Here is a 26858-nt window from a genome sequence, read left to right as displayed (position 1 = left end):
CTCATGGGTCTTTCCAAAACAACACTGGGCAATCACCTGAAGCCAGTTTATCTATTGAAGCCAATTTACCATTTGTATCTTGGTTAATTTCTTTTTCATCTTTCAGTATTTTAGTAATGAAAATGATGAAGATTATGAATTTACCTTTGAGTACATCTTTGACTCCCTCCCTCCCTCCCTTCCTTCCTTCTTTGACAGATTACCTTTGAGTATATCTTTGCCTGACCTCCTCCCTCCCTCCCTCCCTCGCTTCTTCCCTTCCTTCCTTCCTCTTTTTTTTTTTTTTTTTTTAAGAGTCTCGCTCTGTTGCCCAGGCTGGAGTGCAGTGGCGCAATCTTGGCTCACTGCAACCTCCACATCCCAGGCTCGAGCGATTCTCATGCCTCAGCCTCCTGAGTAGCTGGGACCACAGGAGCCATGCCACCACGCCTGGCTAATTTTTGTATATTTTGGTAGAGACGGGGTTTTGCCATGTTGGCCCGGTTGGTCTAGAACTCCTGACCTCCGGTGATCCCCACCTGCCTCGGCCTTCCAAAGTGCTGGGATTACAGGTGTGAGGCACCGCACCCAGCCTTTATATTTAATATCTCATTTTATTGTAAAGTGGTCTGAGAATGAGGCATGTATAATTTCTACTTTTTGAGGACTTAATTGAAACGTTCCAGTTTAGAAAACTATTCCACAAGATCTCTGTAGGGCACAAAGTTATGTATCTATTGATTTAATCTTATTAACTAATCCCTTTATGTCCTTATCTTGGGTCTTTTTTGCCTATACTACTGACTATTATTTCTATTCTCTTTCTGGAATTTGTTATTTTAGGTTGAATCTGTCTTTTCTGTCATCAGTTTTATCTTTGTATACTTCCTCCTCAAATTTTTGGCATTTGTCTTTTAGTTTGCGAATTCAATTTTCTGCAGTGGCCAATTTCTATTCACTGTGTTCAGCCCAATTTTTCACTTACGTAGTTCTCATCTCTGTGCAATCCTCCCTGACTGCAGGCCCCTTGCTCCTTTTATATGATAGCTTTGTCTAGTTCTCCACACAGATGCTCTCTACTCTTACATTTTGTTAAGAATACACATTAGGTATTTTCTAAAATGTTATTATTTCTTGCTTAAACTCATTCCAGAGGTTAGAAGCCTCTGAATCTTCTCCATGAAGCCTTCTTTTTTTTTTTTCGGAGACAGTCTCTCTCTGTTGCCCAGGCTGGAGTGCAGTGGTGTGATCTCAGCTCACTGCAAATCTCTGCCTCCCAGGTTCAAGCGATTCTCCAGCCTCCGCCTCCTGAGTAGCTGGGATTACAGGCACCTGCCACCATGCCCAGCTAATTTTTTGTATTTCTAGCAGAGACGGGCTTTTACCATGTTGGCCAGGCTGGTCTCGAACTCCTGACCTCATGACCCACCCGCCTCGGCCTCCCAAAGCACTGGGATTACAGGCATGAGCCACCATGCCCAGCCTGAGCCACTGTGCCCAACTGAAGCCTTCTTTTAAGCTATACCACCTATTGCCAGGCCCCAAGATATTCCAGTATTTGCTCATCCTTAAAGAAGGTCTAAATTTGCCAAGGGCTTATATTCACGGAGAAACTGATGTGGATGGATTCTGTCAGAGGTTAGCATAAATTCCTGCCAAAATCTTTTAAAAAAGCGTTTTCATACTCAGGTGAAGGACGAGGGAAGTGAGGGATGGGAAATATCCAGCAGTTATATTACCATTTCGACAACCATTTTAACATCCCAGGAGGCAGGCATGAGAAGTCGGATTTTAATTTAAATTATGCCAATATGAATCAGCAAGGGAAGACCCATCATTCCATGACTCTCATGTAGCTTTCCTCCCCAATGAGACACACACCATCACGCAACTTTTGATTAGGTGTGGTTGTAGCACCCATCCCTCTGACTGACGTCACTGTCCATGCCAAAAGCAACCCCAGAGACCTCCTAATGCCACCACTGAGGTCCAAATGACGAGGATTACTAGAAGACAGAGAGTCTAAGTGGCAGAGCTCCTGACTGGCGCTCATGTCCTTTCTACCCTCAGGCCCTGCCCCTCAGAGTCAGAGGGTATTATTGTCTGCAGTATTCCAGGTTTCCCTTTCATTTCCTAGAATGCACTCTCCCAGAAGACACTATACAAAAGCCCTCCATGTTGTTCTTCAATCCAGTCTTCCTGTGCTACATCTAAAAGAAATTCCCCCAGCACCTCTAATACGAGTGGCATTAATTCTTCCTCCTTTTGAGTATTTCATTTTCAGTATTTCCTGGTCATTTAAGTGGTAAAACTGGTATGGAAAAAGAGAGGAGTGAGTTCCTAAGTGCATACATTGTATTTTCTTCAAAAGCAATATTTTAGGATAATTGATCTGCCATTTGCTGTACAGACAGATATAGATGAATAGATTGGCAGGGACCTTTGAAATCAGTGATGTAGGGGGAAGAGTCTGAGGTGAGCACAGCGGGTCATATAAGTTCCAGTTTGAGCTCAGCCACTGAACACCTGCGTACCTTGTTGTACTCATATCCCCACAACTATGCCTCCATCCCTTTATCTTCTACCAAAAACATTTTATAATTACCTACCTTGGAAATGCATAATGTAGAGAAGCCTGTATTAAGGATGAATATGTTATAGATTCAACTATGTTTCTTGAAACTGCACATAATAAAAAGCTGGCAGAACATGGTTAACACACAATATGGTATCTTCTATGCTCACCTCAAGAACTTTTGGACAATTATTAAGTCCTAATTACTTTGCCCTTAAATCTTCTCACTTTAATGACTCATATGTTAAAAAGATATAACATTTTTTAAGCCGGTGTTTATTTTCATATTCTTCTGACATTAATCTCTTAAACATCTTTCATCATACGGCTGACCTCACCACATGTTCAGGTAACATTAATTGGGATTTGGTGCTACCAGGCTACCCAGTCCTGATGGCTTTCCTCCCTGCTAATCCCTGGCAGCCTTAACAGACACCACTGTCCTGGGTGCTGACACAGAACAGTCGTTACCACCAACTTCCACTCAGGTCACCCTGATGAGAATCACCTAAGCCCAGGGTAAAGAAGGTCATCTCAGCTATTTAAGGAAAAGTACTGCAGTTCAGTCTGTGTTTCTTAAACAGTTTTCTTTCTTCAGAGAAGTCTCCCAGGTTACAACATCTTTGGCCCCACCCTTTCAAATTCATTCAGTCTGAGTTTTGCCCTTGTGCCTGGCAAACTTCAATCTCCTCAGGTTTCTTTCTCCATATTTCCTGGAGAGTATGATTCTGGCTCTGAAAAAAGCTCATTTACAAGAGACAGTTCAGATGCATGTAGTTGTTTGTAGGCTGTCGTCCTCAGTTCAGCTGACTGCTTGGAAGAAATACCACAAATAGTTTTGAAAGGAGGATCTGAAGCGGGTACTAAATTATGAAGTGTTGCAAACATTGGAGAAGAAAATCAAGAAAGATTATTGGCACCAGGAAAATGGTAAAAAAAAAAATTTTAAATCATTCCCTTCACAGAACTGACAAATGAGATTTAGCTAAATGAAATACAAGTATATGAATTTGAGAACTACAACAAAGAACTGCTGGGACAAGAGGGGCTGAGGAAAATGGCTTGAAAGCATCAGGATTAAAGAGCAAATGTGCTCATAAAAAAGCTTTCAATGGAATAGACAGAAAACAAGTCATTTTGGTTAATTATTCAGTAGGGACAGTGGGTTTCGTTTTACAGATGGTAAAATGAAACCTTTAGAGGGAAAGCAACTTGAGTATTATCATAAAGAAACAGGACCCCACTGTTCTGATTCTCAACTCCCTTTGCACCAAAATCCAAGTGACATTCCATCTTTAACGTTCTATTCTTCTCTAAACTCAAAACTCAACCCTCTAGGATGTGGAAACTTTGATGCTCTTGGAAATTGCTTCTATATTTGTCTAATGCCAACTTCTGTGCTAGAAGAAGTTTGAAGTTCAACCCAAAAACACAGGGCTTGGCATGGTCAAAAGCTCATTACAACTTCTCATTAGTTGTGTCTCTTGAGGCGACTATGGCATTCCTGAGTGTGACTCAGTATCACCAGTCATAACTGAGGGTTCCTGATTAATCTGAACTGAGCCGGAGTAAAGGCCACAGTAAGATCCAAGCAAATGAAGCAACACATCTTGTAGGAAGAAAGTAAAAAATTTACATGAAAATTTCTTGAAATGCATAATAGTACCTAACACTGATTTAGTATGTATTACATACCAGGCACTGTATTTGTGCTTGACATTCATCAATTCATTTATCTTAATAACCCTATGAGGCAGGTACTATTACTATTCCCATTTTAAAATAGGAAACTGAGTCACAGAGATGTTGAGTAACTTGCTATGCTGGCTAGGAACAAGAATTACTACAGAACAGTGAGAATATATCAACTGATACTCAGGATCCTGATTTCGAGAGCCATGAAAAGCTTCTCTAGATTAAAAAAATTACTTCATCAGTCCAAATAAAGTATGGGGTTTAGTTCATAGTAATGTGCCAATGACAGTTTCCTGGTATGGTACATTCCTCAAATGCCCCATGGCAATGTCAGATGTTAACAATGGAAAAAACACTGGGCAAGTGGTACGTGAGAACTCTCTGATCTCGCTCTGTCACCCAGGCTGGAGTGCAGTGGTACGATCTCGGCTCACTGCAAGCTCTGCCTCCCGGGTTCACACTATTCTCCTGCCTCAGCCGCCCAAGTAGCTGGGACTACAGGCGCCCACCATCATGCACGGCTAATTTTTTTTGTATTTTTAGTAGAGACGGGGTTTCACCATGTTAGTTAGGATGGTCTCGATCTCCCGACCTCTTGATCTGCCCGCCTCGGCTTCCCAAAGTGCTGGGATTACAGGCGTGAGCCACCGCACCTGGCCAGTTTTTTTATTTTAATTAATTAATTATTTTTTTGAGACGGGGTCTTGTTCTGTCACCCAGGCTGGAGTGCAGTGGTGTGATCTCAGCTTACTGCAAGCTCCGCCTCCCAGGTTCACGCCATTCTCCCGCCTCAGCCTCCCGAGTAGCTGGTACCACTCGGGTGCCTGCCAGCATGCCTGGCTAATTTTTTTTTGTATTTTTAGTAGAGACAGGGTTTCACCATGTTGGCCAGGATGGTCTCGATCTCCTGACCTCGTGATCCGCCCACCTCTGCCTCCCAAAGTGCTGGGATTACAGGCGTGAGCCACCACACTTGGCCCAGTTGTTTTTTTTTTTTTAACTTTATCAGGATACTTCATAGGGGGAACTTTTCACTGTTCAGATGAAAAGCCATGCTATTCTTTTTCCTAAAAGTCAGGAGAATATCTGAAAACACTGGGGTCCCCAAAACGCTGTACATTTCACATGTAAGTGAGAGAATGTTCAAGTCTTTATTAGTATTAACTTAGCTTCAGAGACTTGTCCTAGAGTTTTAGAGGCAAATTGGAAACTATTTCCTGGAACAACGCCTCACAGCATGCCTTTTGATACCTGGATTATATTACTTAAATTCTGAAGAAATCTCCGCTTTTTCCCCCCTTCTGTGCATTTTTGATGCTGAGCTGTTTCCGGTTTTCCCACACTCTTGCCTGTCACAAAGAAGAAACCACAAAAATGCTGCAAAGCAAAGTCTGTCCAAAGAGCTGCAATTCCATCTCAGGAGGCTGCAGAGTTCTCCTGCCAGCAGTGAGTTCAGGGCAGTAGCAAGCAGCGTCTTCAAATGTCCAGCCCTGCCGCCTGGGCCCACCTCTCCACCAGCTAGCCACACAGGCCACCAAGGGCCTTCTGAGGGTACTGGCAATAATCAGAGAATCCACAAGGGGCACACTGGCAAATTCAACATTCGCATTTGGCTCAAAAATTTTCCTAGTTAACTACGGGCTTTCCAAATCTGTGAAGGAGAGTGTGGTTTTAGAATGCATATGATGGTGACCAAGGCTTACTGAGCTCTTACCTGGGCCGGGCCTTACTCTATGTACTTCACACATATTAACTCTGTTAACATTTAACAACTGACCTAGGAGGTAGATACTCTTATTGTTTTATTTTTACAAATGGAAACATGAGGAAGCTGAGGCTAGGAGATTAAGTAACTTGTAACCTGCAGAAGGTATCATATTAGTAAAGTGTGGCCTGAGGATGTGAATCCAGGCAGTCTGGCTACAGAGGCTGCAGACCTAAGGATTTGACTCCACTATTTCCAGGGTGAGAAGGCACACATTTCCTATTTTGCTACTGGCATTCAACCACAAACTGCAGCCTTCCTACTGCCCTTTCCTACTACTCCAGAGAGTTCTGCAGTCATTACAATGCCAGCTCTTCCCAGAACAGCGCTTGGTACTTAGTGGGCACTGAATAAATATTTGTTGGATAAATGAATAATGGCAGCAATATAATTAAAACAGCCACAAGGGATTGTTTTCTATCTAAATCCAGAATTTGATTTACCATCCAAGGAGGAAAAAACAGTAATGACTTTTTCTATGTTTTAGGATTCTTCTCACAACTAATATTGATCTTCCGAAGGACAAATGAATGAGAAGCCTCAATGACAGCAAGAGAAATACACAAATGTCTGCGACACAAAAACACAGCAGGCAATGCGTGCCTCTTCCAGACATCTCTAAAAGTTCCCCAAGTTTAAACTGAAGAAGGGCTGCTAGAACCAACGCTCTTCACCAATCTATTTCTAGTTCACTGGCTAAAAAGTGGCTGGAGATACAGTGAAGGATTTTGACTTAACAAAAATTTGACTCAGGAAAGGAAATGTCTTTTTGGTGTAAACAGGTAGACTACAAAAGGTATTAAAAACACTGTTGCTACACAGAGCTTGGTGACTAATGTCAATGAAGTTATATTATCCTCTTAGATGAAATCTCAATCCTGTATCTCCCCTTTCAAATGCCTAAAAGTGAACAAACCAAGGGGAAGCAGGATGTTGAATTTTATATGAAATTGAAAAGATCTGATTCTGCAGGGCCTGTCCCTCCCACAGGGTAAAGCCCTGCCATCTGCTTGTTTCAGTAGTTCCCTGGGTGATTCTAATTTGTAGCCCACGCTGAGAACTAGGGTTAGCCTTTATTTCCCAGCAGGTGTTCTTGTTTCCAGTACTTCAGTACGAACGGTCTTGAAGAGTAATAAATAAAGAGTACTATTAGCTTAGAACTGATAAAACTCAGTAGAAATTGAACAGAAAAAAACTTACTTGGAAGCTTTCTGGGATGTTGCCCTTCTGAGCACTTGTTCGTGGTTGGGTGGGGGTTTGGGAACCAGGGAGGCGCAAGAACTTGGAGGTGGTACCACTTTTTGTGGCAGAGTGGTTGGCTTCTGGCCACTAGCTGTGGCACTGGAAATTCTACAACCTGCACCATTATTCATTGTCCATAAATTGGAGTTAGGTAGTGTCTGGCTGCCAAAGATTGCCTACAAAAAAAAAAGGAAAAAAATGATCGATGGACATCACCTTCACAACCCATTTACTGTATGTAACTAGTCTGTAATCCTGTCAAGGGGCAAAAAGAAAAGGACAACTGTTAATTTTTTTTTTAAGGAAAAACTTCTCTAATGTTGCCAGTGCAGCTCTAGATTCAGAGAAGGGGAATATTTTGAAGCAGATTGTTGAAATGGTCTTGTTGAAAGTACACTGGGCTAGGAATCAGGGCACCTGCGATACTAAGTGTTGGTCCACATGCGTGAATTAGAAAAGCATCTGATCTCTCAGTGTAGTTTCCATCATTGTTAAATTCAACACTTTTTTAATGAATGTCTCTTTCGAGGCGTGAAGTACTAGAAATAGAGCACAGAATAAAATTGTCTTGCAGCTTGACTTGATTCCTGCCCAATCCAAAACTCTGAGCTCCTCTAGAAAGTTTGCAGGCAGGAGGCAAGGGGAGGAGTCAGTGTGGCTAAGGCATGGTGAGCAATACAGAAAGATGAGGTTCCTGCGACAGGAACCATGAGCCAGGCCTGGTTATAATCTTGAGGGCTAGTTTAGAATTCTAGCTAGAAACACTTTGTTGACCTAAAGATTAACATAAGATTTTACATTTGAAAGCGCTTTCAAAGTAAAATTACTATACAAATGCTAGTTACATGAATACAATCGACAAATGGATATTTTTGCTCAGAGGGTAAGCCTATAAATAAAGACCTAAAAATCACCATCTAAACATCACAAATGTCAACATATATAATTAGGATGTAAAAGTATTCTTCCTTCAAGTAGATGCTTAAAAAGTTCTTACAACTTATTTATCTCATTAGAAATGGTCTTTTTGTGTCTCAATTTTGTTACTAGTCTTTCAATACTATTAATACTGCTTTCAACATGCATTGTAAAAACTTTAAATGAGAAATAATATTAAGAGAAAAATAACATCATTGACAAAATACATAGTATTTTTTATTAAAACAATTTCTGGCAATTGATTTCCATTTGTACCTACAACATGTAAAGGACTCATGGTGAGGCAGGATGAAATAATATGAGATGCTCTTAGGAAATATTCATCTTCTAGACAGAGTTTGCTAGTATTATTTTTGCCCTTTATGAATTTTATTTTTTCAGATTTAAAAGATGAACTGGGTAATTTTAGTAAAATGTTCACCAACCCTTCTATATGCATGACATAAAATGTCTCATTTTCAGGAAATGTGTCAAAGGTCGTAGGCTAAGCAGATATGAGAGGGGGATCCAGGGGTCTTGTGTGGAGTAAATGTGTTTCACTGAGATGCTTGACAAAGAACAAAGAGATTTCAGAGGTAAAGGGTCTGAGCATTTTCAGTCAGACCAATCTGACTGAGATGTCCCCAACCTGTGTAAACCACCTGAGGGAGAAAGTGAAGAGCTACAATTTTTCTCCATCTCTGATCCACAGAAGAGGAACAAAGACAAAGCCAGGTTCGGTGGCTAATGCCTGTAATCCTAGCACTTTGGGAGGCTGAGACATGTGGATCACCTGAGCTCAGGAGTTCGAAACCAGCCTGGGCAACATGGCAAAACTCTGTCTTTACAAAAAATACAAAAATTAGCTAGACGTGGTGGTGCCTGCCTGTAGTCCCAGCGACCCAAGAGGCTGAGGTGGGAGAATCCTTTGAGCCAGGGAGGTGAAGGTTGCAAAGGGTGAAGACTGCACCACTGCACTCCAGCCTCGGTGACAGAGCTAGACCCTGTCTCAAAAAAAGCGGGGGGAAGAGGAACAAAGACAGATGCAAGGTCATGGGCAAAGCCAGGAGGGCAGCACTGTTGAGCATGTACACATGGGGAGGTTTCCGGATGGTCCAAGAGAATCAAGGAGCCCTGACCCTGCTAAAGCAGGCCTCCTCAGGACAAGGAACCAAAGCTTCCAGCAGGAGGCAGCCTTCTGGGACAGGGTCTACAACAAACCCTTTCTTTGCAGCTGTTGTTTCCATATTTGAGGGCCTTAAAATCTGTGTGAGAAACTCAATTGGAAGTAAAGAGGGACACAGGAACAGGCTGCCCCAGGCTTCTATTTTCACCACTACATCCTAATAATTGAGGTTAGGTGTAAGGAGTGTTTGGGAAGTGCCTCATTCAAGATGGGAAGAGACCAAAAATCAGAATGAGGGCTGAAGAACAGTTCTACACTGAGCCATCCATAAAGAAATTCCCTGGGTGAGTAGTAGAGGAGGGGATAAAATGTTGTTAGTTAAGAGCTCTTGGAAATCAAAATATTCTTTATTAAATTATATATTTAATGTTGTAAGGGAACTGCCATTGGTAAGAACATCTATTCAATAAATGTTGCCACGGTGACAACTATATTTTCAAATTCATAATTTTTTCCCCCAAAATCTGAAACATGTAAATACAAATGAAATAATGAGTGAAAACAGCAGGTTCAGAACAGTGAGTTTAGTGAGCTCCTATTTTTGTTTTTTTTAAAAAGAATACATACACACCATATATATCTATATATGTATGTACACACACTCTCTCTCTCTCTCTCCTAGTATCTGCACAGAACAATTCTGGAAGTATACACAAAAAACTGGTAGCCTTCAGGGAGAAGAATTGGTTAGCTAGGGGTCAAGGCAGGAGGGAGACTAACTTTTTACTACATGTCATTTGTATCTTTTGAATTTCATACTGCGTGCATATAGTTATTTATTACAAAAATAAACTAATTATTTAAAAGACAAAAGAAGTCTAGTTCCAGTAACATTTAAGCAGGTAATACATTATCTGTGAGTACAAATCAAGATACCCAAGTGAAGCCCAAGTTTTAACCAGCTGGGTATAGGATTCCTATTAGATTGGGCTAAAGAAGGAATTAACTGTTCAACACTGGCTAGAAAAGCAGATTAGGTCATCAATGAAAGGCAGAGAGACCCAGAGTAAATGGAAAAGACATGGCTTGCGGTCAAATGTACCTCAGCTCAAATGTAGGCCTTGTCACTTACAAAGTGGGTGATCTTTTCAAGTTAACTTCTCAGAGCTGTCTCATAAGCAGTTAAAATTACTTCACCTTTAGAAGATGAGGAGCTTAATTAAAAAAAATTACTTCATTGGATTTTTGGAGGTCATCATGTAGGTAACCTTAGCCTAGGCATTCAATAAGGATTTCTTGAAATAAAGCAAAGACCTAGGCACACAGTAGGCACTCAACAAATGTTCCATTCCTTCCCAAACCTCTACCTACCTCAGTTCTACTGAGAAACTAAAGGATGGGATGACAGCGAAGTCCACCTATCAGTAATCCTTTGTGAATGGCAGTTGCTTATGCATTTCTTCAAGATATTTTTCCAGACTTATGACACTCACTAGTTGTGAAAGCAAATTCTTAAAACGGAAACATATGTTTAGGCTCCCCAGATCATATTTACTCAATTCTCTCTGGCAGAAATAATCTTTTCCTCTTCTGAATGCTTAGAAAAATGTATTTGTATGACTCATCACAGTACATTCTACCATGTATTATAGCCACTTACGTGTGTACTTTTTCTCCCTTCTGGGTGATTCACACTGGAAATGGCTGAATTTATATATGATTAATTTTAGTTTCCCCTACAGTGACTAGTAGAAAGGTGCTTAATAAATGGAAAAAATTAAAAATTAAAAATAAAAACACCAATCCCAACTATTCATCTTTTTTTTAGCAAAAACTAAATTCCTACACAACAAAATAGGCAAATGTGTATTTATATCCAGATGTAATCTTGTAAAAGGACCATTTTCTGGACTTTAAACAGTGCCTAGTGTGTTATTTGTGTCCAACTCATACTCAGACACAAAATATGTCAGCCCTTCTGCAGATCTCAAACAAAAATAACTTCACACCTTCCTAAATGCAAAATTTATGGTAGGACCTTAGATACTGATGTTTTATATAAGATTAGTTTTCACTTCAAACAATAAAATAAAATAATTTAGGAGAACTTACTGCCTAGGAGACTGCCACTTGCCTAGATAAAATCGCTTCTCCCTTTCTTCTTAATATTACTACTCTGACTTTGTTTGGGTCATAATGTTTGCCCAGCTAAAGAAAATACATTTCTAAACCTCTCTTTTACCTAGGGATAACACATGCCATATGTTCTGGACAATGAGATGGAAACAGAAGTTTCTGGGTGCAGTTTTTGGGAAAGCTCTTTAAATGGGCAGACTCGGCTGGTGCACACCTTATGCCCTTTCATGTTCCCTGTTCTTCTTCCCACCTACAGCATGGAATCTAGCAAGAGGTGGATAGGCATAGGGTAAAAGTTATTTGCTAAGGATTGCAGAGAATAAAGACAGAAGGAGCATGGGTTTCTGATGGCACCATGAAGTCTGCAAGAGCCTATCTCTAGATTTCTAACTATGTGGGAAAAAAACCCTTTTAACTTAATTAAACTATTGGTGGTAGAGAGGGTTCTGTTATAAGCAGCCAAACGGAATCTTAACTGATACTAGAAATAATTCTCAATCTACCACAGATTCAAGCTTGCCTAAGCCTCAATACAACAACAGAAGGCAGACACTCTTTCCAAATACAGTAAAAGGCCTCTAGGTTGCGACTTGTGGTTTGGTGATTATACTGTAATACACTGAACGGATAATGAAATGATTATAATTGCATGCCATCTGAAACTCCAAAGAGTCGGTAATGTAGACAAGTCCCCAGGTGTTTCACCAAAGCCAAGGCTAAGTGGGATGGGATTAAAGCAATCAAACCTGATAAGAAGAAACCCAGGAACACACTCAGACAATGTTAAAAGCAGACATATAAATGGTTGTGTGTAAACTAGCAGCAGAAATCAGCCTCTCCAGGCACCCTGAGAGTCCTGTACTGGCCCCAATCCTACAGCCCCACCAACTGAACTGCTCCATCATGTGAATTGTTCTGTCCTGATATTCATTCATAAAAGGACAGAAGAATTAGATGAAGTTCTCTCTAATAATTTGTAAGAAACATGAGGTTTCGATATACAATATTAACAACACAGGCATAGGAGCTGCACCATCATTAGTCAATGTCCTGGGAATGAGAGAGCTGTGTAAGCACTGGCCTCCACTCAAGACCTAGTCAACATACACTCAGCATATACATGACTCTTGTTTCTTTGCTGGGTGTGGGAAACAGCCATACTACAGCAAGAAGACTCAGAGAAAAACCACAGTTTGAGGGTTGGCTTGGCCCCAGGCAAAAGACTGGAAAGGCCCTCCTTCTCCCACAACAGAAGGGTGCTCATGGGTGGGAAGGAAAAATTTCTGATAGACAGAACACAGACTGCAACTTGGAAGGTTCCAGGGAAGCAAGATCTGGGCTCTCTTACTAGAAAGATAATACTGTTTAGAGATTAAATTCTGGGAGGACTTTTTTCTTTTTTTAATTCCTTCCAGAAAAACACTCCTTTTAGCCTTCACTCAGGCTTCCTGGTGATGGAGCAGAGCTGGATGCCTCTTTGTAGTGAAATAATTCTGTAAATTCATTTTTTGAGAATGAAGGGGGATAAAGTAGGCAAACGCTACTCTCTATTTGAGTAGGTTAATGTCTCTTTGTGACCCTTGTACTCTAATTTAAGACAAGCAAACATTTCTATGCAGTATTCTCCCCACATTAGATTGTGTCCCAATTTGGATAAAATTCCCATGACATATGCAAAGACATTTCTTGTCCGTTTCCCTCTGGAAGCTAAACTATTGAGAAGGTACATTTTCTTGAGCATGTAAGTTACTAATCACTCACCTTCCTAGAATCAGGCCAAGACTGTTCAGAGCAAAGAACACATCCAGACTTTTATGCAACCCTGTGATGCTGTAAAAACCTTGCAGCCAAGGTGAGAGTGAGAGTAACTGTTTCTATTTTGGCAAAAGTAAGCTTCCAAAAGGCCTTTGTCTCACACTGTATGGAGTTCTTGGCTGTCTTCCATTCACAGTGTTTGTCGGCTGGGACAAGACTGGGTGCTGAGCAAGAGAAACAGTACAACTTTTCTGGTGCTGCTATAAAGCACTGGGCAGTACTACGACTCCAATAGGAATGGGACAGCAATCCAGAAGTTGCTCCTCTTCATATAGAGAGACCAAGCACACAAATACCTGAGACAGGATATGGAGCTGTCAAAGGTGTCGGAAGCCTTCCAACATATCCTCTCATTTCTAAAACCAATTACGAAGCTCCCCCTCCTTCAGTGAGTAGGAAAGGAGGTTCTTACTACCTCAAATGACCTACTCTAAAGGATACAAAGACAGATGCTTACCTGGACAGAAAAATTTCGAAACTATTGTTCACTAACCAATTGAGATCAGTGTGATTCTTCAGAGAGTCCCTAAATTAACTGTACTTGCCAACATTTAAGAAGCAATGAAGATAATTACAACTAGATATTCACATATACTCAAAACTGAGCTTGGACTAGTGTGTGACCTGACCAGCACAGTGTAGCTATGACACAGCTGGCTAAGACTAGGGCTGCAGTTCATGACCACAAAAGCCAGTGAAACCACCTTGCCCTAAGACATCACATGGGTGACCTTCCCTTATTAGCAGCCACACCTTCATCTAGCCACAAAACCAATCAGACACTGGTTGACGTTCTGATGCAAATTCAGACTCAGATGACCATAGACTCTGCTTTGCTTTACATTTCTTTCATATCTCCTTCAATGCCCAGCACTGTTTGATCACACACACATACATAAAAAGGTTGGCAGACTGATGTTTTTCTTTTTGAAACAAATTTCTTTAATAAATGTTCATTCAAAATGATTTATAATTCTGCTCTCAGAGATAACCTGTTAACATTTAGATGTTTTTCTATGCATATACAAACTTATTTTCTATATGTATGTATGCATGTATTTCTGTGTGCTGACAAAACACGGAATCACATGACACCTGATGTTTTGGAGCCTGTTTTTATTTCATTCAAATACCTATTCTGAGCATTTTTCCCTATCTATAAACGTAGACCTAGACTGCTGTTTTTAATGGCATTTTTTCTACTATGGTTTATTATACTTCACCAATCATCAATGCTATAAATTGACACACTGAGATACATCTATATTTGAAGCTATGGAAATATGTAAATATGTTCACAATATATTTTTTTCTTTTTTTTTTTTGAGATGGAGTCTCACTCTGTTGCCAGGCTGGAGTGCAGTGGCACGATCTCGGCTCACTGCAACCTCCGACTCCAAGCAATTCTCCTGCCTCAGCCTCCCAAGTAGGTGGGATTACAGGCACGTGCCACCACACGCAGCTAATTTTTGTATTTTTTTTTTTTAGTAGAGATGGGGTTTCACCGTGTTGGCCAGGATGGTGTCGAACTCCTGACCTCGTGATCTGTCTGCCTCAGCCTCCCAAAATGCTGGGATTACAGGCGTGAGCCACTACGCCCAGCCCACAATAGATTTTTGAGTTAAAAAATATAGGCCGCGCGCAGTGGCTCACGCCTGTAATCCCAGCACTTTGGGAGGCTGAGGCAGGCGGATCAGGAGGTCAGGAGATCGAGACCATCCTGGCTAAAACGGTGAAACCCCATCTCTACTAAAAATACAAAAAATTAGCCAGGCGTTGTGGTGGGCACCTGTAGTCTCAGTTACTTGGGAGGATGAGGCAGGAGAATGGTGTGAACCCGGGAGGCGGAGCTTTCAGTGAGCCAAGATCACGCCACTGCACTCCAGCCTGGGTGACAGAGTGAGACTCCGTCTCAAAAAAAAAAAAAAAAAAGGCCCCCAGTGTCTTTTTTTTTCTCTGTGTCACAAACAGAAAAGCACCCCCAAAATCTTATAGTTCCATTTTGAAATACCATATGTACATGTGCACGCACACACACACACGCATATATACACACACACATTCAGGTTGTTACCAGTTTACTTTGCTTTTTAAGAATAGTGTTGTGATAAACATCATGTTATCTATACCTTTTCACATATGCTGGATCATTTCCTTAAAATAATTTCCTCAAAGTAGAATAGCCAGATCAGAAATCTCTTTATTCTTCTGCTTCAAAACTTTTTAACATATATTCCCAAATTGCTCTCAGGAAAGGTTGTACCAATTTGTATTTCATCAGTATGTCTGAAAGGATTAAATTTACTTATCATTCCTTTGATTACTTTGAGAAAGCAGCTTGCACCCGATGAAAAGCTAGCTCACAATTGATGCTAATGCTGTTTCTTGTCCTTTTTATGTTTGTAAGATATTTATGCCTTTGGACAAACATGTCAATAATCTACACAGATATTATTCTAAAGAATAACCATTTAGGCCAGGTGCGGTGGCTCACACTTGTAATCCCAGCACTTTGGGAGGCCGAGGCGGGTGGATCACAAAGTCAGGAAATCGAGACCATCCTGGCTAACATGTTGAAACCCCGCCTCTACTAAATAATACAAAAAATTAGCTGGGCATGGTGACGCATGCCTATAGTCTCAGCTACTCAGGAGGCTGAGGCAGGAGAACGGTGTGAACCTGGGAGGTGGAGGTTGCAGTGAGCCCAGATCGAGCCACTGCACCCCAGCCTGGGCAATAGAGTGAAACTCTGTCTCAAAAATAAATAAATAAATAAATAAATAAATAAAGAATAACCATTTAATCATGGTATTAATCATGCTTTTTATTCTTCTCATAGCTCTAATAATTATGAACAAATTAATTTGCATACCATATTTAATTGTTCAAGTAAGTAACTATTAGTTTTAAAAATGTGCTAATTAATACTTAATGAGCCTTGGGCTTCTCCTAAGACACTTTCTTTAATATCATTTTAATCAATTTCTGTTTCTGGCCCGGAAGGTTTAAGTAAAACCCCCAAGTTGACATCATAATGCCATGTATATTTACGGTTAAAAATTATACATAAGAGATATTTGTACATCCGTGTTCATTGATGTATTATTCACAATAGCCAAGATGTAAAAGGAACCTAAATGTCCATCAATGAATGAATGGAAAAAGAAAATGTGGTATGTAGTACCCAAAAAAACTAAAAAAAAAAAACTAAAAAAAGAGAAAACATGGTATGTATATGTGTATACACACACAATGAAATGTTATTCAGCCTTAAAAAAGAAGGGAATCCTGTCATACGCTACAACGTGGATGAATCTTGAAGACATTATGCTAAGTAAAAGAATCTAATGACAAAATCATTTCACTCAACATGAGGTAATGAAACTCACAGAAAGTAGAATGGTGATTGTCAGAGGCTGGATGGGAAAGAGGAAAACAGGGAGTTGTTCAATGAGTACGGTTTCAGTCATGCAATATAAAAAAGTTCTGGAGGGCCGGGCGTGGTGGCTCACACCTGTAATCCCAGCACTTTGGGAGGCCAAGGCAGGCGGATCACGAGGTCAGAAGATCGAGACCATCCTGGCTAACACGGTGAAACCCCGTCTCTATTAAAAATACAAAAAAATTAGCTGGGCGTGGTGGTGGGCACCTGTAGTCCCAGCTACTTGGGAGGCTGAGGCAGGAGAATGGCGTGAACCCGGGAGGCGGAGCTTGCAATGAGCCGAGATTGAGCCACTGCACTCCAGCCTGGGGGACAGAGCGAGACTCCGTCTCAAAAAAAAAAAAAAAAAGTTCTGGAGATCTGTGGTACAGTATGCATATAGTTAACAATACTGTGCTGTATACATAAAAATTGTTAAGAGGATACATTTACATGTTTTCTACCTAAATGATAAAAAAAAGGTGATACACAATTATAAGAGCAACTAACTTTTGACTTTTTTTTTTTTTTTGAGATGGAGTTTCACCCTTGTTGCCCAGGCTGGAGTGCAATGGCCACGATCTTGGCTCACTGCAACCTCCGCCTCCTGGGTTCAAGTGATTCTCCTACCTCAGCCTCCTGAGTAGCTGGGATTACAGGCATGCGCAACCACGCACAGCTAATTTTTTGTATTTTTAGTAGAGATGGGGTTTCTCCACGGTGGTCAGGCTGGTCTCGAACTCCCAATCTCAGGTGATTCATCCATCTCAGCCTCCCATAGTGCTGGGATTATGGGTGTGAGCCACCACACCCGGCCTTTTATTGACCTTTTATCATGGGTCAGGCATTGCTTTAAGTGCTTTATGTTATCTCATTTATCCCTCCCAACCATATGACCTGTGTCTCCTCATCATCACCATTTACAGAAGAAACCAAGGCACAAAAAATGTTAGGAAATTTGTTCATAATTGCAGAGGTACTGAGTAGTAAGCTGGGATTCAAACCCATGGAGTATGATTTAAGAACCTCACTATACTATGCTGCCTTTCTTATTTATGTTATGCTGATTCCCTTTTAAAGCAAACATATCTAAAGCAAATTTATTTAAATCATATCTCTTTTCTAAAGCAAACGTAGAAATGTGTCCAGTTTCCACCAGATGTATATAAAGACAAATTTCATTCACCTTGCTCCAAGATCATTCTCTTTCTTGAGAAGGAAAGGAAAGTTTGAAAAAAAATTATTGTCTGTAAGCAAATGTTTGTTACTTATTGTTAAAGTGAAAGTGTGAGTATGTATACAGATAACATCAAAGGATCAGCCATGACCCCAGATAGAAAGCTCAACTGGCTAAATAAAGATAGGTCTGCTTCATTTTCAATTGTGTGTTTTAACTTTTATTTGTTAGTACTTATAAGAAATTATTTGTATATCAGGGCCCCGTTCTCCTAACGTGTCTGTATCTTATGTGTCCTGATTACTAAAATGAAATAATTAGTCAAAGGCAATCTCTAAGTTTCCTTTACAACTTTGAGGTTATAAACATCTAACTTGTCTCTGTCTTCAAATGTATAATTTGTTTTGTTTGGCCCAGGATCTCACATGGTTGGTTTACTGTGCATATCTTATACAGACCTTACTGTCACATATTCATTAAGTATTTTTCCCCTGGCTGCCACCATCTCAGATGGATGGATTGAAGTCTTTCATCATCTCACACAAAGTTACTGCTGGGAGTCCCTCATATACCTACAGACAAACAAACAAACCACAGGCCACGGAGTGAGGGAAGAGAATAAAACTGGTCACCAGACAGCTGCAGCAACCAAGCTGAGTTCTGAATCTTAATTGGTTACACTGACCCTTTTTTTTTTTTTTTAAAGATTTGTGTATACGAGAGTATATAGCAGTGCAGCAGCAATAATGCTGGAATGCCTTATCTGACTGATAAGTATGTAAACTAAAAAGAAAACGAAGAGTCAATTCTGTCGTGGGGGAGGACGGTAGAGTGGAAAGGGGCTTTGGAAGTCCTCTGACCTGGTAAAAATATTATCTCCACAATCAGGCAGCTGTGTGATCTTGGCTAAGTTACCCAAACTCTTTGAACATTGATTTCCTCATCAGTGGAATGGAGATAAGACTACATCTGGTGCACAGGAAGCATTTACTGCGTGTTCATTTTCCTCTAAGATTCCAGAAGAATATTCCCCTAGGAGCAGCTTAGAAAGCAACATGATGATAACCAGGGTACTTATGCTACTATCAGTAATAAGTTAACACAATGAAAGAAAGTCTGTATTGTAATAATACACTAAGATCAGACTTATATGATATTGAAAAAGCAAGCATAGGCCGGGCGTGGTGGCTCACGCCTGTAATCCCAGCACTTTGGGAGGCCGAGGGTGGGCAGATCACAAGGTCAGGAGATCAAGACCATCCTGGCTAACACAGTGAAACCCTGTCTCTACTAAAAATACAAAAAATTAGCTGGGCGTGGTGGCGGGCGCCTGTAGTCCCAGCTACTTGGGAGGCTGAGGCAGGAGAATGGTGTGAACCTGGGAGGCGGAGCTTGCAGTGAGCCGAGATCGAGCCACTGCACTCCAGCTGGGCGACAGAGCAAGACTCCGTCTCAAAAAAAAAAAAAAAACCAAAGCAAGCATAATATGAATTAAGCAAACATGTCATCTGTGGTAGTCACATTTGTAGACACCTGTCAGGTTTCCTGGGAGTCTTCTGAAAAACACCTATCATAGAAATAAAATTAAAATAGCATTACCAGTAACAGTGTTGAAAGGACAAAATAATAATTACAGAAATCATTCCTGTATTATTAATAACACAGGAATTAGTAACAACCCATACAAGTGCTCCTACTATCCAAACCTCTAGAACAAACGTCAGGATACTGCATGTGTTGTTAGGTGCTAAACCCATTACTTAATAAAAGTACAAGGGAGGGTAAAGGATGGGCATTTCCAAGATTGTTACGCCCAAGAACACCTTATTAAGATATTTCTTTCATTAAGAATTGAGGAGAGGCCGGGCGTGGTGGCTCACGCCTGTAATCTCAGCTCTCAGGGAGGCAAGAGGTGGGAGGATAGCTTGAGCCCAGGAGTTCAAGACCTGCCTGGGCAATATAGCGAGACCCCGTTCTCCAGAAAAAGGAAAAAAAAAAAAAAAAGATTGAGGTAATTGGGATGACGTCTAGGCCTAAGTGCAGGAAAACTTTTCTTTTGAGATGGTGCTTATGAATAGTAGGAGACTGGTGAAGAGACCTGATAATAACTTTTCAAACATAGTTTCATCGGAGTCAGTAAGTACTTGTTGGCTGGGTATGGTGGCTCACGCCTGTAATCCCAGCACTTTTGGAGGCGAAGGTGGGTGGATCACAAGGTCAGGAGTTCAAGACCGTCCTCACCACTATGGTGAAAACCCCATCTCTACTAAAAATACAAAAATTAGCCTGGCGTGGTGGTGTGCGCCTGTAGTCCCAGCTACTCAGGAGGCTGAGGCAGGGGAATCGCTTGAACCCGGGAGGCAGACGTTGCAGTGAGCTGAGATTGCGCCACTGTACTCCAGACTGGTCAACAGAGTGAGACTCCATCGCAAAAAAAAAAAAAAAATACTTGTTGAATGTATACATTGCAAGTTAGAATTTATGTAATAGTACTTACAGTTGCTGTTTATTGAATGCCTTATTAGCAGCAGGAGGCAGCATATAGCATAATAGCCATGAGCTTGGATGCTGCAGGCTGACAGACCTGGGTTCAAATCCCAGTTCTACCATTTATTACTTATGTGACACAGAGAAAGTTATCTAACTGATACTATGCTTTTTCATCTGTGAAATGAGGCTAATAAGAGGGCAGCTGTAAAGATCCACTGAGATAATACAAAAAAATGGCCACTTTGGTGCTTGACATATGGTAATATCAATATCACATCCTGAGAACTACAATCATGATAATACACAGGTATATATCATCATCTTCAAATTAGAGATAAGGAAAATGAGGTTTTAAAAGTTTGAATAACCTGTCTTAAGTCACGGACTAGACAGGGCCAAGACTTAAGCTGTGGGTTATCTGACTCCAAAGCCTGTCTAGAGTGGCCTATTTCCAAAACAACCGAATGCAGTATTATTTCATGTATTTTCTATGTATTTTCATTAAATAAGAATAAAAGTTTGGCTTGGCAAAATCTACTAAATCAAGTGGTCCTAGGAAAATCAATAATAACTAAAAGCTAGACACTAAGTATGAGTTCCTGCTAAAAGTCAAGTGGGAAAATAAAATAGAACAAAAGAACCAACCAAACAAAAAAACAACGAAGCAATAGGTTATGACATTAAGTTCCGGAGTCAATATGCTCTGGAACTTAAACACACACACACACACACACACACACACACACACACACACACACACACACTCCTCCCCTCTCATGTCCCCAGTCCAACCTTCCTCTCTGATACGCCATTATAAAGATGTATCAAGACACCTCCTGCATGGCTAGACTGTTTGCCTGCTCTTTGTGCCACGCTGAGGAGCTAGCATGTTATTGCCAGCTGCTTGGAAAAAGACAGGGTGCCTGCTGAATTTCTCTTTCTTTCCCCTCCCCTCCTCCACAACACAAACACACAGCAGCTGAAGGCTTGGCGAAACAGAATTCATTCCTGCAGGAGGAGGCAGAATTTTTTTAGACACGTGCAATGAACTTTTAGGAGCAAAATAACAAGACATGGTTCGGTTTATATGGGAATCCTTTCCACACCTGTGGGATTGTGTATATACACACACAGCATTAGCAAAAAGCTTGTTACACACTGCACTCAAGATGTTACCAGCAAACTGAAAGACCTCTTGATGTGAACAATGAGCTGCTGCCAGTCCTGCCTGTTATAGGAACATTAGTTTCTGCTAGGATTATTGAATCCAGATTAGTTTGGTAAACTTGGACATGGTGGGAAGGGAAAAGTAAAGAACAGATGGGGCAGAAGGATGAGAGAAATTTAGGACGCACAGTTTTCTCCTACCTTGAGTTATTTACTAATGTTGAAAATTAAGTCTACTAAAAATTGAAGGGGTTTCGAAAGAGACCGGAACCAGTGAAGAATTAAGATGTATTTAAAATCTCTCCTTTCTCCCATGATTGTTAAAGGAAACTTCGGCAATTCTGTGTTGGCCATCAATATGTCCTTAATTTTTCTGCTTTTGGGGCTCTTTTTCACTGTGGATGAGGCAGAGAAGAGAGTGGGAGGGAAGGAAGCAGGGAGTGGGTTGGGAGCAGAAGTTTAACAAAGGATCACTTTAACAGAAACTACTGAGTAATCGCTCTGTCCTGCGCCAAGAATAACATCAGCTCAATGTCTGCAATTAGAATCAGGTCAGTCAGGCCTCACAGCCGGTGCAGCCCTCCTCACAGACCCCAGCATGGAGAGCTACTCATGCTGATGTCACCAGTAGTCACTGTTACCCAAGAAAGTCCCCGACTCAGCTGAAAGAAAAGTTTTCTTTTGCCTTCTCCTTCAGGGGCAGGAAGACAGCAGGAGAAGAAAGACAGAATTAGAAGACATGCATTGGGCTGTATCAATATATAACAGATTTGTTTGATCATTCCTAACTCTTGAGATTCAGTACTTCCCACAACCATCCTGAAATTTTTTTTTTGCTTTTTTTTTTTTTTTGGAGACAGTCTCAATCTGTCACTCAGGCTGCAGTGGAGGGGCATGATCTTGGCTCACTGCAACCTCCGCCTCCCGGGTTCAAGTGATTCTCCTACCTCAGCCTCCTGAGTAGCTGGGATTATAGGCATGCGCCACCACGCCCGGCTAATTTTTGTATTTTTAGTAGAGACGGGGTTTCACCATATTGGTCAGGCTGGTCTCGAACTCCTGACCTTGTGATCCACCTGCCTTGGCCTCCCAAAGTGCTGGGATTACAGGCATAAGCCACCACGCCCGGCCCTGAAATTCATTTTTAAATGAGTTAATGTGTATAGAGAACCCTGAATAGTGCTTGGAACACAGCAAGTGCTTAAGTGGTGGCTATTATTATTAAAACAAAAAGGGAGGATTCTGCCTATTCATTAGGTTATTCCAAACCTAATGAATCAGAAATGGGATGGAGGAACAATTGTTTTAACAAGCCCTTCAAATGGTTCTGTTACTCTAGTCTATGGGTCTGCACACTAGGACCTATAGGCCAAATCCAGCCCATTGCCTGTTTTTGTACATAAAGTTTTGTTGAAAGACCGCCACACTCATTCATTTACATATTGTTTATGGCTGTTTTCACTCTACCATGGCAGAGCTGAGTAGTTGCAACAGAGATGCTATGGCCTGCAAAGCCTAAAATATTTACTATCTGGCTATTTACAGAAAAAGTTTGCTGACCTCTGCTCTGACTTAAAACAATGTTTTTCAAACTGCTGTTTTTACCATCAGTGTGTAAAAGCTCATTGTTTCAATTTTGTCTTATTTTGTTTATTATGCTCTCTATCATATGGACTGGATCACGCCAAGTTTCTTGTATCTCTGTTCCTGAAAACTTCCGCCACTGGCTCTGGGTGACTTTCCTCTCTCACTCCCATGTCACAGGATCAGTCTTTTGCAGGAGTGGATTAAGTATATGACAATTGCTACATTTATGAGTGCAATGCTATACTGAGATGAAGATCAAAGCTCATTCCCCATGAATACTGAGAGATGTCCATTTCCAAACTCATATCCTGAATCAGAGTTTAAGCAGAAATTAACACCTTCAATAAGTTGGATATCTAAGTGTTCTGACTGGAGGCCGAAAAGAATGGAGAACTTCCTATGTACACAATGAGAGAAAGGCTGCATGAACTTTCCCCAGACATTATTAGGAGATTACTATGTGAAAGATGCTGTTCATAAACATAATATGATATAAGATAAATATAAGGCCTCCTTTAACATCGCATTCCATAAACAGGCCTCTTTTATGGATGAATGCTAGGTAAATCAGATTTCAATTCTATCTACTGCTTTCAAACAGGCAGTTAACCACACTGTGAGTTATACCAATGGCTCCCTACACTTTAGAGAAATGAATCCAAGTGCAAGGAGTTCATTGGAAAAGTACCATTGCTATCTAAAGGGTAACCCCAGGACAGAAATACAGAATACTGAGAATGTAAACCATGCTTCAATCAACAATTTAGTGATAATTATAATGGTCAGATCTAGCACAGCTAAGCTACAAAGGTATAAAATCTACTAGGGCTTTGCTTCCACTGTGGAATGATTCTAAGTACCCTCTAAAATAAAGTGCTCTAAGTTTCTACATATTCTTCCTGTTAGAATATTTAATATCTTATTTGTTATCTTATTAGTTATAAACTCTTGAAGCTAATGGAATTTAGTTACTTTAGCTCTCTCCTACAGTCCCAGAAACTTCACCCTTACTCATTTTTACCTAAATCAGCTGTGGTTTAGAAGAACGGGTTCGGGGTGTTGGGGAGAAGAAATAATGTTACACACATATATACAATTATGATGAATGATTTTCTGTTTGCTCTCCAGGAGAACGAGATAACTCCCTTCTTGGGAGTTCTGCCTCCTCGCTAAAACAGATATTCTGACAGATTCTAAAAAACATAATTTCCATATACTTCATAATTCAGTGAAACTAAACCAGTATAATCCTCAGTGAAAAGAAATTCCACACAAGAATAGTAGTACAGTACTTTGAATTTTCAAAGGAATGTGAGTTGCTGGAAGCTAATCAAAACTATGAGAAGGACTTAAAAATGAAGCAGTTTCTAAAAGTGAAAATCAACAAAACTGCCTCTCCTTCCCCAGTCATCCTCCATTTCAAGGTATTGAAGCATAGTTTAAAAGGTACCAACTGTCTAGATTCATTAGAGCCAGAGAGTTTTTTTTTCTGACTTGTATTTTAGGCTCAGGGGTGCATGCTCAGGTTTGTTATGAAGGTAAATGGCGTGTTGCGGGGGTTTGGTGCACACATTATTCTGTGGCCCAGGTAATGAGCCAAGGACCTGAGAAGTAGTTTTTTGATCTTCAGGCTATACAGTGATACTTCCACTATCCAGTATCTGATTAAGTTGGCATTCTCAAGTACTCTGAATGACAGGGAGTTTAAAGTTTAAAAAGCTTTAAGAAATTTAAGAACACAGATTAAAAAAAAAAAACAACAACTAAGACACACATTTGTATCTGGAATTGTGAAAATGCAAACTGGCTTAAATGTGTCTACTATCCTCAAGACCTCAAGATTTTCTAAATGAAGAAAATTTTACATGACAGAAAGTGATGTGATTACAATGAGATGCTATATTCTATGCTTTCCAGATTAAGAGATTTTATTTTTCTCCAGTAAAAATGGTCTAAAGAACTACTTTGCAAATGCCGGCACTTACAATTTCTCAATTATGATGAATTAATATAATGTACAGAGTATACTACCGCAGGTAAAGATGATCAATTGATGAACTATGTTGAAATAATAAAATGACATTTTATTATGGGTGGTAGTTGAAAAGATAAGACAGACTATAATAATAATTGTTTTACTTAGAGGAAAAAACCTTTGGGAAATGTTGCTTTAGTCTTTGAGTAAATAATTTTGCACAAACTCATACACACTATGTACTACATTTTTATAAGAAAAAAATGATCAGGAGATCAAACTGATAAAAAGTTATTTCTTCACATAACCAAATGTCAGAAAAGCTTATAGAATCAGTACTAATTCATTCCAATAACCCCACTGTAGAACACAGTAACTATTCTAATGATGATCCTGAGTCACCAAGAAAAATTTAACTCCTGAATTTTCGGTGAGGTCATCCTTTCTCTACAATTGGGGCCATACTAATATATTAGTGCTATATACTTATATAGCTCCCTCACTCAGTAGTTTCTGGCATTTTATAGACAGTGAGTAGCGAATCAACATCTCCCTACACATAAGTTGCACAACAGCAAGGATTTTTGTGTGTACAGTCACCTTATAGCCCCACTGTTTAAAACAGTGCCTAGTACACAGTAGAATCACAGTAAACATTTGTTGAATGAATAGCTATCATTTATAGATGACCTGCATGCTAACATATGTCCATTTCCCACCAGAAGAACTTGCAACTTATTTATTCCTTGAAAATCTTGTTAGATAATGAGTAATATCACGCACATATGCCAAGTATATCAAGGCAAGAAAGTAGAACATTTAGAAATAAAGATGCTTAAAATACAAGCTTTCAGGTATCTTAGAATCAGACCCTATGGGAGGTTATAAACTAAGATCATACAACAGAAAGGGTAAACACCACAATAGAGATTTTTGTATAGAAGCATTCAAATGAAAAAAAAACATGTCAAACACTGGTTAAGCATCACTTTCAAGCAAAGCCAGTGTTATGGCTCCAGAACAGTTTTTCCTCAAGAGTAGACTCCCCATGAGCTGTCCAAGCCAGGATGGCACGGGGTTGGAAAACTAATCCTACATTTCTCATTCACTGACCTTTTTTTTTTTTTTTTTTTTTTTACCAACAGCAGGAAGATATAACACATGGAAAAGACTTATCTTGAATTACCTGGTGCCGGGCTCGACTCTGGTCCAGGAGCTGCCGGGACTGAAGTTTTTGTTGTTCAAGTTGCTGCAGGGCAAATTGAAGCTGATAGCTGCCTGCTGTGGGGTGATACTTGTGCTGGGGGACCACCCCTGTAGCCTGGCTGTACACGTTGTTTTCTACTTCTCCTTCCCAGGCAAATCCCCCTGTCTGCAGGCTCCTGAAGAGAAAAGCAAGCAGGTTTCTTAGAGTGAGTGGCTGTATGAACAATCTAGAGGAAAGGAGAGAAATATCTCAGGTATTTTTCCAATATGGAACCAAGCACAGTTTGGAATTACAAATCTACTTGTGTGATATTATCTCACTCCCCCACTAAACCGTAGCTCCATGATGACAAGGACAGGGTCTGTTTTGCACTCTCTTCTTTTCCTAGCACGTATCATAAGGCCTGGCACACAGTCAATGTACAATAAATATTAGCTGGATGTAAAACAACTGAAATAGCAATTTCATTCCCCTGTGATTGCCAGAAGACCTACAAGAAGAGTCCAGAGAGCTTCCAATGCAGGATGGGGGGCTAACTTAAGGCAGGAACAGATGCATGATCATTTTCTCTAACATCAACTTC

General features: G+C 40.4%; 1 protein-coding gene across 1 annotated transcript in view, besides 2 other annotated features; it reads right to left on the bottom strand.

Moving 5' to 3' along the window:
- TTLL5 (tubulin tyrosine ligase like 5) overlaps positions 1-26858 on the bottom strand; it is a 293834-nt gene that overhangs the window by 64963 nt on the left and 202013 nt on the right. The window contains exons 29-30 of the mRNA NM_015072.5: positions 26255-26450; positions 7215-7432 (exon numbers count right to left, since the gene is read on the bottom strand). Coding sequence (NP_055887.3) covers positions 7215-7432; positions 26255-26450 — 414 coding nt within the window. The remainder of the gene's footprint in view (positions 1-7214; positions 7433-26254; positions 26451-26858) is intronic.
- Positions 14011-14100: a silencer, noted in NCBI's record as "silent region_5951". NCBI's record gives its function as "represses an Ori minimal core promoter by ATAC-STARR-seq in GM12878 lymphoblastoid cells {active_cell/tissue: GM12878}" and the evidence as "EXISTENCE:reporter gene assay evidence [ECO:0000049][PMID:35858748]".
- Positions 26071-26575: an enhancer, noted in NCBI's record as "NANOG hESC enhancer chr14:76329885-76330389 (GRCh37/hg19 assembly coordinates)". NCBI's record gives its function as "activates a minimal SCP1, AML or CMV promoter by ChIP-STARR-seq in naive H9 embryonic stem cells {active_cell/tissue: H9 hESC(naive)}" and the evidence as "EXISTENCE:reporter gene assay evidence [ECO:0000049][PMID:30033119]".

This window comes from Homo sapiens, chromosome 14, assembly GCF_000001405.40.
Source record: "Homo sapiens chromosome 14, GRCh38.p14 Primary Assembly".
NCBI classification, from domain to species: Eukaryota; Metazoa; Chordata; class Mammalia; order Primates; family Hominidae; genus Homo; species Homo sapiens.
This window is presented reverse-complemented; position numbering and strand designations above follow the sequence as displayed.